The sequence below is a fragment of the Homo sapiens genome, chromosome 6, assembly GCF_000001405.40.
Source record: "Homo sapiens chromosome 6, GRCh38.p14 Primary Assembly".
Lineage (NCBI taxonomy): Eukaryota > Metazoa > Chordata > Mammalia > Primates > Hominidae > Homo > Homo sapiens.
In genome coordinates, this window is record NC_000006.12 from 156,720,380 (window position 1) to 156,734,392 (window position 14,013).

Genomic DNA, 14,013 nt, shown 5'->3' on the forward strand with positions numbered 1-14,013 from the left:
TTCCAGGCAAAGTGCTTAGTAGCTGAATTCAGCGAGAAGAAATCATCCAAAGGTAACCCTTGCTCTGAGCCCTCCCCAGGAAGAAGAGAGAGGTCACTCTGGAAAAGCCTGGAACCTTCTCTCGCTTGAGGGTGCGGACAGCAGCCCACCTCCCCTTTGGCTAGGCCAAAGATCTCTCCTTCCTTTTAGGCCTAGCTTTCCCTGTCACTAAAAGGGCTACATTTATCCTTAAATATCATCTAAGCTGAAATACTACTACATTGCTTTGCAGTCGGTCATAGTGGAATCTTAGTTTCAGAACTACATTCAACACCTACTGCGCAGAAGCACCACATGGACACTGCCACAAAAATTAACACAGTGGATCCTAACAGAGCTGAATGGGGTTGCTGTGAATATCTCCCTAGTAAGATAGGAAAAAGGCCCATGTGGGCTATGATATTTGTATAAAGTGGTGTCGATGAGCTCATTGCAGGACTAGCTATTTGAACTTAAGTTTCAATGAAGTGTAAATGAGAACTGACTTCACCCTTGACTTTTATTTTTCTCTCCAAGTATTTCTCACTAGCCATTTTCATTTCCTCCTTTTCCTACCATTCTCACCCTCATCTTTCTACCCTCTTCTTGAAGCAGAGCACTTTTTCTCCACACTCTGGAAGGCCAGAGAGGAGAGAGGATTAGAGGCCCGTAAGCAGGGGAAATCCTATCCATTAGAAAAGGACAAGGGCAGAACAGGGGACTTCCGTGCTTCTCCTGCCAAGTTAATACGCTAGGAGAAGCAGCTGGGTCGGGTCTGGACACGCTTTTCTGTTCTGCAGCTCACAGAATTTTTTTTGTCACTTTAACTTCAGTGATCTCCGGTGCCCCCGAAGGCAAGTAGCACACCTGAATCATTAAGCTTCAGATGAGTTGAGTTCAAAGTTTTATTTTCTACTTTTAAAGCCCTCAATAAATTAGGGCAAAGGTACTGGGAACCCAGCCTCTTGCCCTGGCGTTCCTCTGGGATTGTTAAGGTTGGCTAAGCAATCTGCTCTTGAGAAACCAGGTGTAGAGAGACCTGGGTGGAGAGATCCGGGGGTTGTTTGTGGAACTTTCTCCTCCTCTGTGGCATATGCCAGCGTCTCTCAGGAGCAATCCTGCAAGGTTGCCTCCAGAGCTAGGTGGTGTCGACCTGTCTTTGTTATGCAAGTTGCTGAACTCACAGTGTTCCAGCGGAGTGTTCCTGGCCAGCGCATGAATGAGGAAATGGGTCGACACGAATTCTGGGCAGCAGGATTGGAATGCAACACCTCCCCACCCCTGCCTTCCCTGCACCCCCATCTTCTTGGGATAGCTGATACTCGAAGAGAAGCTAATGCTTGATTAAAGTGATACAATACTGTGTAGTCAGACGAACATTCTGAACAAATCTAAGTTGATCTTTTAAAAAACAATTAATTCTTACTGTTGTTGTTGTTGTTGTTGTTGTTGTTTTCTTTTCTTTTCTTTTCTGAGACAGAGTCTCGCTCTGTCACCCAGGCTGGAATGCAGCGGCACCATCTCGGCTCACTGCAACCTCTGCCTCCCGGGTTCAAGCGATTCTCCTGCCTCAGACTCCCAAGTAGCTGTGATTACAGGCGCCTGCCACCAAGCCCGGCTAATTTTTGTATTTTTAGTAGAGACGGGATTTCACCATGTTGGCCAGGCTGGTCTCAAACTCCTGACCTCAAGTGATTCACCCACATTGGCCTCCCAAAGTGCTGGGATTACAGGCATAGACCACCGCGCCCGGCCTAATGGCCTAATTCTTTCTTTTCTGTTTCTCTCATCTTTATGTGGAATCACGTTTTGTCCTGGCTCTCAGGTTTTTACGTTTCCAGCAAAATAGTTGTTTTTAAGATTTTTACATTGTATTAACAGAGGGGAATTATTGTTTTTTTCTCTGAACACTGCCTGCCTGCATATCCCCTGCCTCTGGAGCAACTAACATGCTTTTGAATTCTGGCTGCAGAAGTGACATTTGGTGTCATTTTCCAGGTGGTGCTGACTGTCTCCCCAGGAACAATGCGGAGACCCTGGGATTTTGTATGTAGGGTCTGAGACACAGGCGGGAATGTAGAGCAACAGAAGGAAGTTCTCTTAAGGTTGCTTCATTCCAGACCCCTGGGATGCCCCCACAATTACACCAAAATTCTGTTCTGGAAGATCTGCCCACTCCAATCAGATTCCCAAGGCCAAGACAAACAATAAAACGCATGACCATCACAACAAAAGGAGGTGGGAGGATAAACTATGGTGAGGTCAGCCCCCTAAAGAGTGAGCTTATTGGCCGAGGCGGCCAACACGCCTGTAATCCCAGAACTTTGGGAGGCCGAGGTGGGCGGATCACGATGTCAGGAGATGGAGACCATCCTGGCTAACACGGTGAAACCCCGTCTCTACTAAAAATACAAAAAAAAAAAAAAAAATTAGCCGGGCCTGTGGCACACACCTGTAGTCTCAACTACTCAGAAGGCTGAGGCAGGAGAATCACGTGAACCTGAGAGGCGGAAATTGCAGTGAGCCGAGATTGTGCACTGCACTCCAGCCTGGGCGACAGAGTGAGACTCCGTCTCAAAAAAAAAAAAAGAAAGAAAAAACAACAGGCTGGGCGCTGTGGCTCACGCCTGCTGTAATCCCAGCAGTTTGGGAGGCCAAGGCAGGTGGATCACCTGAGGTTGGGAGTTCGAGACCAGCCTGGCCAACATGGTGAAACTTCGTCTCTACTAAAAATACAAAAAAAAAAAAAAAAAAAAAAAAAAAAAGCTGGGAATGGTGGCGCGTGCCTGTAATCCCAGCTACTTGGGAGGCTGAGGCAGAAGAATCACTTGAACCCGGGAGGCGGAGGTTGCTGTGAGCCAAGATTGCACCACTACACTCCAGCCTGGGCAACAGAGCGAAACTCCGTCTCAAAAAAAAAAAAAAAAGATTGAGAATATTGATTTCGTTCACATCTTCTTTTTGAATGGACTGGAAATTAGAATTTAAAAAAACAGAGACTTTCTTCCGGAAGATAACAAAAAGTGAAAGTGAACCACTTTCTACAGGTAAAGGAAATACCTCTCATTGTGCTTCATAAAGTGATCTAAACCTATTGGAAGTGACATCCAGGAGACATACAAGCTCACATGGATGAATGAGGCTAGCATGCTGTGAGCTCCAGGAAGTTTGAAAGAAGCTGAGAAATGGCCCCATTGCTCATGACCATCCAAGGCAGTCTCCAGTGATCTTCATGGTGACACCAGCCACTTCTCTTCTTATGTTATTTACTAGTAGGTGATATCAGTCCCTTCTCACACTGCTCTAAAGAACGCCCGAGACTGGGTAATTTATCAAGGAAAGAGATGTCATTGACTCACATCCACATGGCTGGAGAGGCCTCAGGAAACTTACAATCATGGTGGAAGGGGAAGCAAACCCGTCTTCTTCACGAGAGAGAAGTGTCAAGCAAAGCAAGGAAAAGCCCCTTCTAAAACCATCAGATCTCATGAGAATTCACTCACTATCATAAAAACAGCATGGGGATAACCGCCCCCATGATTCAATTAACTCCCACCAGGTCCCTCCCATAATACGTGGGGATTACAGGAACCACAATTCAACATGAGATTTGGGGTGGGGTGCGGTGGCTCATGCCTGTAATGCCAGCACTTTGGGAGGCCAAGATAGGCAGATCACAAGGTCAGGAGGTGGAGAACAGCCTGGCCAACATGGCGAAACCTTGTCTCTACTAAAAATACAAAAATTAGCCAGGCGTGGTGGCACATGCCTGTAATCCCAGCTACTCAGGAGGCTGAAGCAGGAGAATTGCTTGAACCTGGGAGGCAGTGGTTGCAGTGAGGCGAGATCGTACCACTGCACTCCAGCCTGGGCAACAGCAAGAGTCCGTCTCACAAAAAAAAAAAAAGGGCCAGGGGCCCCGTGATTCACGCCTGTAATCCCAGCACTTTTGGGGGCCCAGGAGGGCAGATCACCTGAGGTCGGGAGTTCAAGACCAGGCTGACCAATATGGAGAAACCGCATCTCTACTAAAAATACAAAATTAGCCAGGTGTGGTGGTGCATGCCTGTAATCTCAGCTACTTAGGAGGCTGAGGCAGGAGAATTACTTGAGCCCAGGAGGTGGAGGTTGTGGTGAGCTGAGATTGTGCCATTGCACTCCAGCCTGGGCAACAAGAACATAACTCGGTCTTTAAAAAAAAAAAAGGGGGGGGGGTGAGATTTGGGTGGGGACACAGCCAAACCATGTCATTGACGTTCTGCTTAGAGTGAAGGATCCCTTTCCACTTTACTCAAGAGAATGGTCATGCTTATAGTACTTTATCTCAGTGTCCTCCACAGCATTTTGCTGAGGAATCAAATCCGTCTGTTATTATGGGAAGAGTACAGACTTTTAGGGAACTGAGATAAGAAAATCCTTTGGCTGGAATAATTTGTTCTTTATTTTACTAAGTCTCTCAGTAACATAGTGAACCTATCTGGGCGGTAAATAGATTCAAAGTCATAGGGGAAATGACCCAAATATTTTATTTTGTTTTTACGCTTTTGTTATGCTGAGTTAATTTAGAAAATCAATGATACCCCAAGTGAAATAGCCTTTACTTAAACCCTTACAAATAAACTAGACATATGTCCTTAAAAACAAATTAAAAACCAACCAGGCACAGTGGCTCACACCTGTAATCCCAGCGCTTCCGGAGGCTGAGGCAGAAGAATCACTTGAGGCCAGGAGTTAGAGACCAGCCTGGGCCACATAGTAAGACTCTATCTCTACAATAAAAATAAAAAAATTAGCCAGGCATGATGTCATGTGCCTGTCATCCCGGCTACTCAGGAGGTTGAGGCAGGAGGATTGCTTGAACCCAGGAGTTTGAGGCTGCAGTAACCTATGATTACACCACTGCACTCCAGGCTAGGCAACAGAGTGAGACCTTATCCCTTAAAATAAATAAATAAAATAAAAACAACTTTTTTCTTTTTTTTGAGATGTAGTTTCACTCTTGTTGCCCAGTCTTGAGTGCAATGGCCTGATGTTGGCTCACTGCATCCTCCGCCTCCCGGGTTCAAGCAATTCTCCCGTCTCAGCCTCCCTAGTAGCTGGGATTACACACATGTGCTACCAGACCTGGCTAATTTTTGTATTTTTAGTAGAGATGGGGTTTCGCCATGTTGTTCAGGCTGGTCTCAAACTCCTGACCTCAGGTGATTCACCCACCCCAGCCTCCCAGAGTGCTGGGATTACAGGCGTGGGCCACCAAACAACTCTTAATTGCTTAAATAATGGTGCAAAAAAGAATTTGTTTAATCAGCAGACCAAGGGACCATTCATAGAATAAGAGATAGATGAATTGGACTGATGGGGAAGTAGGGGGAATTAATTTAAGTTACTGATTGTTCCTTTTCTCAAAATTCTTTGGCAAAAATTAAGGTATGCCAAGTATCTATCAGTTTTATGATGACAAGACCATAAAACTTGTTTCATTAAACATTTCCCTTATCTTACAACTGTCTAAACAGGAATTTTCCCATTTAGCACCCTATCAATCCAGAGTTAGGATTATGCTGCAGTCTAGGAGGTCTCATATATCAAATGTTAATATTTATATAGTTATTAAAATATTTGATAATTTGTACAGGGGCTCTGTAAAATTAAGTATCACATGCCATTTATAGTATTGGAAAAGAGTATAAATAGAAAATTATGTTCTAGCCTTTGGTGTTTTGTTTTGTTTTGTTTTTGAGATGGAGTCTTGCTCTGTTGCCCAGGCTGGAGTGCCGTGGTACAATCTCAGCTCACTGCAGCCTGTGTGTCCCAGGTTCAAGGGATTCTCCTGCCTCAGCCTCCTGAGTAGCTGGGATTACAGGCATGCACCCCCATGCCTGGATAATTTTTGTATTTTTAGTAGAGAGGGAATTTCGCCATGTTGGCCAGGCTGGTCTCAAACTCCTGACCTCAGGTGATCCGCCTGCCTCAGCCTCCCAAAGTTCTGAGATTACAAGTGTGAGCCACCGCTCCTGGACCCTAGCCTTTGGTCTTTGCTGTAACACTTGTAAGATGACATTTTTATGTGGTAGGTGTAAGGGAACACTTCTTTAAAGTACAACATTTAAGCAAAAGCTTTTACATTATGTTGTGCCGTGGTTTTCAGACTGCATTTATCCACAGACTCTTTTCCAAACAAAATATTAAGTAAAAGCCAAGTAAATAAAACAAATGTGAACAGAGTTGTTGAGGGAGCAGTGGAGGGGTGTTGGTGATCCGCACCCTCTGAGGGGCAACAAATGCCCCTTAGAGGAACACCGGACCTGTAGGAACTTGAAAGCCGATGTAGTAAGGCTTATTTAAAAGAAAATAAATGAAAGGTGCTGTTTGAGATGACATATCTTTTCCTTGCAGCTGCATGCATGTATGCATGTGTGTGTGTTTGCAAAATACCATTTAATTAATATCCATTTCTTATCTCTATCATTGTTACTTTCAAGCTGTAACTTTTGTGGCATTTTAGGATAGTGCAATACACAATTTGTCTATAAGTTTCAAATTCCATTTTTAAAAAAACTGCAGTACAAAGGTTTTTTTTTAATGTGCACATGGAATGTGCATCCCACACTCCATGTATTGCAATGTATACATTAATATAAAATTTTTACAACTTGAAAATATCAAAATTAGCTATTGGCTGAAATCAGCTGGATCTTTCTACATTTGTTTAGATGGTCAAGAGAACACATTGTGTCCGATTGGAGAGTATGTTAGCATCCTTGCACAGCTGTGCTGCCAAAAAGATACCTTTTCAGCTGCCAAAAAGCTCCTTTCAGGAGCAAAGGTATAGGAGGTCATGCAGAGAACCAAAGAGTGATGAGGCACACAACATATTCACGCTTTCCTTGTAAAGCAGAGATTAATAAGCAAGCACACAAATGAAGCTGAGACAGCAAGGCTGAAACTTTGGTTTAGTTGAGTTTGTATTTTCCACCTTTGGCCAATACTTTTTTCATGAAACTCAAGCAGAAATTGTGGAAGAGACAAATCCAGAAACAGACCTTCTCATAAATCCAAAGCATTAAATCTTAGGCTGAATAGAAAGGTCTATGATTTTGGCCTGCTATGTATGTACAGTTAAAATAAGAGAGGTTCGTGTGACTTTTATCTACTGTAAGATTATTTATGTGTACGCCAACATACATTTTCAAATTGGATGCTTAATGCTGCATTTCTTTAAACATGTCATTCTCTGATTCAAGCTAAGTTGGAATTGTTTAAGTTCTATTGGGGCTTTCAAGAGAAATACTAGAGAAGAATCTACTGTGAACCAAATTAATACACTAATCTCCAGTTTGGTTTTTGGCAGCTTTGCTTCTGCCAGGGAATATTAGCTCCTGTAATTGTAGCCATTGTGCAACTAATTGTATATACAATTATATTGCATGCATTTTGATGTTTGTAAATGCAAATGCTTTAGAGTGAGAAACCACCACAGGCTTAAATGAGGAAGATGGACAAGTGGGTGGATCTGTGGGTGTGGCCACCTGGCCAAGCCTGTCCACAATGTCTTGTAATGAGGCTCCAGCTAGGAGCTTCCCCGACCTTCAGTGTAGTTTGGCAAGTGGAGGATACCTGTCTTTGTAAAAGCATCTGAGAATGATAATATTTTCTATCCAATTTATTCAGATTGTATTATCTAAGATGGCCTTTATTTTCAAATTATATGATCTATACAGTATTTGAAGTTTCCTAAGAACATAGGTAAAAGGAAAAAGAAAAGTGCTTATTATATGTTATGCAATACTTTCTTAACCTACCTCACAGAATTAGTGTCAGGATCAAATAAACTTGAAAATGGTAAAAGACATTGCAAACTGTGAAAAAGGATTCACATCTATTGATATAAACACGTTTGAATTACATTTCGGCCTTGAAATAAACATGAAAAGTTCAGATGACCACGTCAGCCCTCTCCTGTGAGAACATGTGATGTTCGTTTTTTCTTCAGCAGCTTTATTGGAGTATAATTTACATAACATAAAATCCATTCATTGTAAGGCTACAACTCAAGGATTTTTAGTAAATGTATACAGATGTGCAGCTATCGTAGAATCCATTTTAGATTCTATTTCAGGACATTTCTAACACCCTAAAAATTTTCTTATGCCCATTTGTAGGTAATCTCTGCACTCACTCTAAGCTCTAAGAAATTCCTGATGTGTTTTCTGTCTCTATAGATTTGCCTTTCCTGGACATTGCATATGAATAGGGTCATATAAATATAGTCTTTTGCATCTGGCATCTTTCATTTAACATATTTTTTAACGATTCATCTATATTGAAACATGTATCAATCTTGGTTTCTTTTTATTGGTGAATAGTATTCCATTGTAGGACTATATTACACTTTGTTTATCCACTCACCAGCTGATGGACATTTGGGTTATTTTGAGTTTGGGGCTACAATGAATAATGCTGCTGTGAACATTTACATACATATCTTTGTTTGAACATATGTTTTCATTTTCCTTGGATAGATTCTTAGCAGTTAATTGCTGGGTTTACAGCAAATTGATGTTTAACTTTTTAAGAAACTACCAATGTAGCCAGGCACAGTAGCTCATGCCTGTAATCCCAGTGCTTTGGGAGGCTGGGGCAGGAGGATCACTTGAGGCCAGCACTTTGAGACCGGGCTGGGCAATGTAATGAGGCCCTGTCTCTGCAAAAAATGAAATTAGCTGGGCATGGTGGCATGCTCCTGTGGTCCCAGCTACACGGGAGGCTGAAACAGGAAAATCGCTTGAGCCCAGGAGCTCGAGGATGCAGTGAGCTATGATGGCGCCTCTGCACTCCAGCCTGGGCAACAGGCAAGACCCTGTCTCAAAAGGAAGGAAGGAGGGAGGGAAACTGCCAGTCTGTTATCCCAAGTGGCTATATCATTTTACATTCCCACCAGCAATGTACACAGGTTCCAGCTTCTCCACATCCTCGCCAACACCTGATACTGTCTGGCTTTTTGAAGATAGCCATCCTAGTGGGTATGTCGTGGTATCTTGTTGTGGTTTTGATTTGCATCTCCCTGATGACTAATGAGTTGAGCATCTTCTTATGTGGTTATTAGACATTCATTTCTCTTTTCTGTTGAAATATCTACTCAAATCTTTTGACCATTATTAAAACTGTGTCAGTCTGGGTGTGGTGGCTTATGCCTGCAATCCCAGCACTTCAGGAGGCTGAGATGGGAGGATCACTGGAGTCCAGGAGTTCAAGACCAGCCTGGGCATCATAGTGAGATGACATCTCTACAAAAAATTTAAAAATTAGCTGGGCATGGTGGCGCACACTGGTAATTCCAGCTAAGGCTGAGGCTGGAGGATTGCTTGGGTCCCGAAGGTCAAGGCTGCAGTGAGTTGGGATCGTACCACTGCCCTCCAGCCTGGACGACAGACACTACTTGTTTTTTCCCATTAATTGCCACTTCACCCTACACTGTCTTGTGGCATCTTTTATTCTGTTGTCTTCCACTGTTATTGGACTTCTGTAGCATTATTTAACTTTTAGTGTACATATTTTTTCTTTCCCCAACCTTGATTTTTAAACTCCTTTAAGAAGAGCACTTCTACCTTATTCGTTCTCTTCTATAGCAAGCCTAACAAATTACCCTGAAAATAATAAATCTTCAATAAATATTTGGACAGAAATCATAAAAAGCTCATTGTCTTTATGTAAATATTGTCAGCATATCTGGTATCATAATTTAATAAGTTGCCTTGAATTTTGTTTCGTTATTGCTTATTGTGTACATCAGAGTCTTTAGTTTTAAAATCATTTTTGAAGCCTCAGCACTTTGGGAGGCTGAGGCAGGAGGATCACTTGAGCCCAGAAGTTTGAGACCAGCCTGGGCAACAAAGAGAGAGCCTACCTCTACAAAAAATACAAAAATTAGCCATGCATCGTGGCGAATGCCTACCGTAGTGTTCCCAGCTACGGGGGAGGCTAAGGCAGGAGGATCGCTTGAGGCCAGGAAGTCGAGGCTGCAGTGAGTCATGTTCGTGCCACTGCACTCCAGCCTGGTGACACCAAAACCCAATGTAAATAAATAAATAAATAAACAATTTTGAGAAGAAGGAGTGTATCAGAATGTAAACTGGGACAAACAGATTTAATTATCAGAGAAATATTTTTTAAAATTCTAAGGAAACTCTAAAACATATGGTAATTAATATGTTTAAATAAAGTAAATTCAAAATTTTAGGCACTCCACTTTTTATCCAAATATCCCTGCGTACGTTAACAAAAACAGCAATCGCATAATTGATCAAAATGGGCAACTCTCTCAATATACCAAAGACTAAGTAGAAAGAAAACCAAACACCTCACCTATCACCAGTACTTTTGACCCAAAAGAAAAGATTTCAAATTATACATATAAACTTACTTATGTATAAGCCCGAATGTAAAACAAAAACAACTTCCCCTATTACTAGTAAATAACAAGAAAAAAAAAACTTTTGAGCCTTACTTGGAAGGATGCCAAAGATATACACTTGAGAATATTTTAAGGTAATTAGCATTTTTGTCTCTGTGTCAGTTAAAATAGGCTTTTGCCTGCTACTAATTTTCTTTGGGTTACTGAGACCATTGTATGAATGAAGGGCTGTTAAAGGCCATTTATATTGTGCAAACAGAGGCACAAATTAGAGAGGGCATGTTAATAAGGAAAGGGGGCTTATGAGTGCTCAATTATGAGCCCAGACCTGTTCCTATTTTAGAGGGATAGAAAACACATCAATCTTCCTTTTAGAATATTTTCAATTAAAATGAACAGCTCACGGCACACTAAGAGCCAGCAAAGTCTGCGGCCTTGTAGATTTTGAATCATTCTTACATATCATCTTAGTTTCCAAACTGATATACATATAATGGGCTGAAATATCATTTGAGATCCCAGAAGGCCAAGGTCCCTGAGCTGCATAAGAAATTCGAAAGGAAAAGAAATATAAAACTGGACCATCTGTTTCCCTTTTCAACATGCAACCTTTGGAGTAGAAAATTTGGAAGAGGATGCTATTTAAAACCTGAATAGAGATGAAATACAGTACACACACTCACAACATATCATTAACTTCCTCTCTCCTAAGCATAATCAATAGCGTCTGCAAGCCTAGTTCTGCATGTTAAAAACAAAGCACAATGTTAGCCGCACAGAGCAGCTCATGCTTCTCCCCACACAGAGACAATAGTGAGTCGTAATAGACTCACCAGGCAGACTCACTCTCCAGCCCTAGGCAGTGCCTCCTGCCTAATTGGCGTAAGCAAAGGGAGGCAACCACTCTGCACAGGCAAGTGTTTTGGGAATCTAATTCTAGTTTGCATGTGCAACTATATGTATGAGCCTGGTTTTGCCCCTGTGTTAGCCACTACTTCCAGTGGCCTGCTATCATGTTCCTGATATGTATTTATGAAAACATCGCAAGATATTGTCCCCAAAGCTACCTTTTCCCCTCTAAGAAATACCTATTTTGGATTTATAGCTAAGCGGGTAGCCAGTGTTCATATAATGTTCATAGAGTGGAAATACACAAAATAAAACAGTAACGGGTGGCAAGAATGAAGGTCTTTAGTCTCAGAGTAGAAAAACCACTATGCCTCAATACTATTCAGTAAGCCCAATGCTGAACTTCTGCAAACCATAATTGTATTGGATTTTTGGCCTTTCTTTTTCAGGTGGCACCAGTCCTCCCTCTTGAAACCTTTGTAACTATTAAGGTTGAAGTGCCATTTAAAGAAAAAGGAAGGCAAAGAAATGAGCTCTAGGAAGCCATGGTGAGTCATTTGTCAATGTATCCTTTCTTGAGCTGATTGGGGAAGCAGGCTTCAGGGTGATGGGATCATAGACTTTATTTTGAATTTGTCCATTATAACCTTAAAGCTTTCTTCAAGGGAAATACGTAGGGTTCATGTCTGATATATAACGTCTGTTGCTATGGAAAGGTTTATACTTAATCATATGACAATGTTCTCTTAGGGGTGGGGAAACTGGGTTATCAGTTCATCTTGTTTCAAAAATCCATATGTTTTACAGGATAAAACAAGACAAAAAACATGTACAGCACATGTTTCTGACATTAGAGGAAAATTTGAAAGGCCCTTTTTACATTGTGTGTATCGAGATGCCATTCTGCATTCAAAAATGCATAGTAGCCTCTTACTGCAAAAGTTAATGATAGAGATGTCAGTTAGTCACAGCATATTATCTAAGCTCTTCTGATATTTCCATCTCTAAACTCATGTCCATGTTGCCTTTCTCATTTCCACCCAAATGTCTGTTGTTGGCTCCACAAGAGAGCGGTCCTTTTGGCATATTATCTAGTGCTCTGTTCTTGGTGAACAATTTCACCACATTGTGATTGTACTATGAACGCTTGCTGTTCATGAGCCCAGCACTGTTTAAAATAGAAAGGTGGAGGCTGCCCTAATATTATAGTCTTGGCTTTTCTAGAAAAATGCAACAATTGTTCAAGCACAATCTAAACATTTTCAACGTTCAGATTTTTCTTTCTATTAAACATTGAACAGTATTGTTTGTTTTTTCACAGTAATACGTTGTATGGTGCTAACTACTGCGCTTGTATGGAAGGAGGCAGGAGCGTGGACTGTAGAGTCAGACAGCCCAGCTCTGCCGTGCATAATCTTGGGCAGGCTTCTTAACCTTTCTCTGCCTGTTCCCACATCTGTAACATTGGGATAATAATAGGACCTATTTCATAGAGTTGGGGTGGGAATTAAACAAGATAGTTCTGGTAAAGCACTTAGAATAGTGAATGACACATAGTAGGTAGGCAGTTAAGTGTTGGTTTATTACATTGTTGAATATCTTCATCATCCTACAATTTTTACTCTTGCCTTTCTTCTTTGTGTGTGTGTGTGTGTGTGTGTGTGTGTGTTAGACGGAGTCTCACTCTCTCGCCCAGGATGAAGTGCAGCGGTGAGATCTCGGTTCACTGCAGCCTCCGCCTCCCAGGTTCAAGCAATTCTCCTGTCTTAGCTCCCGAGTATCTGGGATGACAGGCACCCGCCACCATGCCTGGCTAATTTTTGTATTTTTAGTAGAGACAGAGTTCACCATGTTGGCCAGGCTGGTCTCGAACTCCTGACCTCAGGTGATCCACCCATTTCGGCCTCCCAAAATGCTAGGATTACAGGCGTGAGCCACTGCGCCCAGCCTGCCTTTCTTCTTGAATATGCAACTACTTCATTTAACTCAGAGAAATTTAAAGTAGTAGACTCTGGGATAGTGTTGAAGTATGTTTGAAAAATATGTGGAAATGAGAACTTTTCAGTGCCCCACAAACAATACTAAGAATCTAATTGATGACCTTCCTACATCTGTGAGGACAACTTTGCCCTCAATCTGTAGTGACTGTGATTCCCTTTCTGCCCACTGTCTCACCAAAAGCTTCGTTTTGGTTCTAGATGATATAAACATGAAAACAGTTTGTCCAGGTGTATACGTTTTATATATGTTTTAAAAATCTCTTTACATCAACTGCTTTCTCTTTTTTTTTTTTTTTTTTTTTTGAGACAGGGTCTCGCTGTGTTACTCAGGCTGTAGCACAGTGGTGCAGTCTCGGCTCACTGCAACATCCGCCTCCCAGGTTCAAGCAATTCTGGTACCTCAGCCTCCCAAGAGGCTGGGATTACACGTGTGCTGCCATGCCTGGCTAGTTTTTGTATTTTTAGTAGAGACGGGGTTTCATCGTGTTGACCAGGCTGGTCTCGAACTCCTGGCCTCATTTGATCCACTCTTCTTGGCCTCCCAAAGTGCTGGGATTACAGGCATGAGCCACTGCACCCAGCCTCACATCAACTACTTTCGTGCAGTGAGTCTTCCTTACTCACAGTTCTTACATGTTATCAAATGTAGAAAGAGGTTAAAAAACAATTTTGATAATTAACCACAATATATATAAGGCTTTACCAGTATCACAAGTTTAATAAATGTAGGTG

At 42.0% G+C, this 14,013-nt stretch overlaps 3 annotated features.

The window, feature by feature from the left end:
* Positions 536 to 605: an enhancer, noted in NCBI's record as "active region_25315". NCBI's record gives its function as "activates an Ori minimal core promoter by ATAC-STARR-seq in GM12878 lymphoblastoid cells {active_cell/tissue: GM12878}" and the evidence as "EXISTENCE:reporter gene assay evidence [ECO:0000049][PMID:35858748]".
* Positions 910 to 1,458: an enhancer, noted in NCBI's record as "OCT4-NANOG hESC enhancer chr6:157042423-157042971 (GRCh37/hg19 assembly coordinates)". NCBI's record gives its function as "activates a minimal SCP1, AML or CMV promoter by ChIP-STARR-seq in naive H9 embryonic stem cells {active_cell/tissue: H9 hESC(naive)}" and the evidence as "EXISTENCE:reporter gene assay evidence [ECO:0000049][PMID:30033119]".
* Positions 1,056 to 1,350: a silencer, noted in NCBI's record as "tiled region #478; K562 Repressive non-DNase unmatched - State 7:EnhWF". NCBI's record gives its function as "represses a minimal TATA promoter and a strong SV40 promoter by Sharpr-MPRA in K562 cells {active_cell/tissue: K562}" and the evidence as "EXISTENCE:reporter gene assay evidence [ECO:0000049][PMID:27701403]".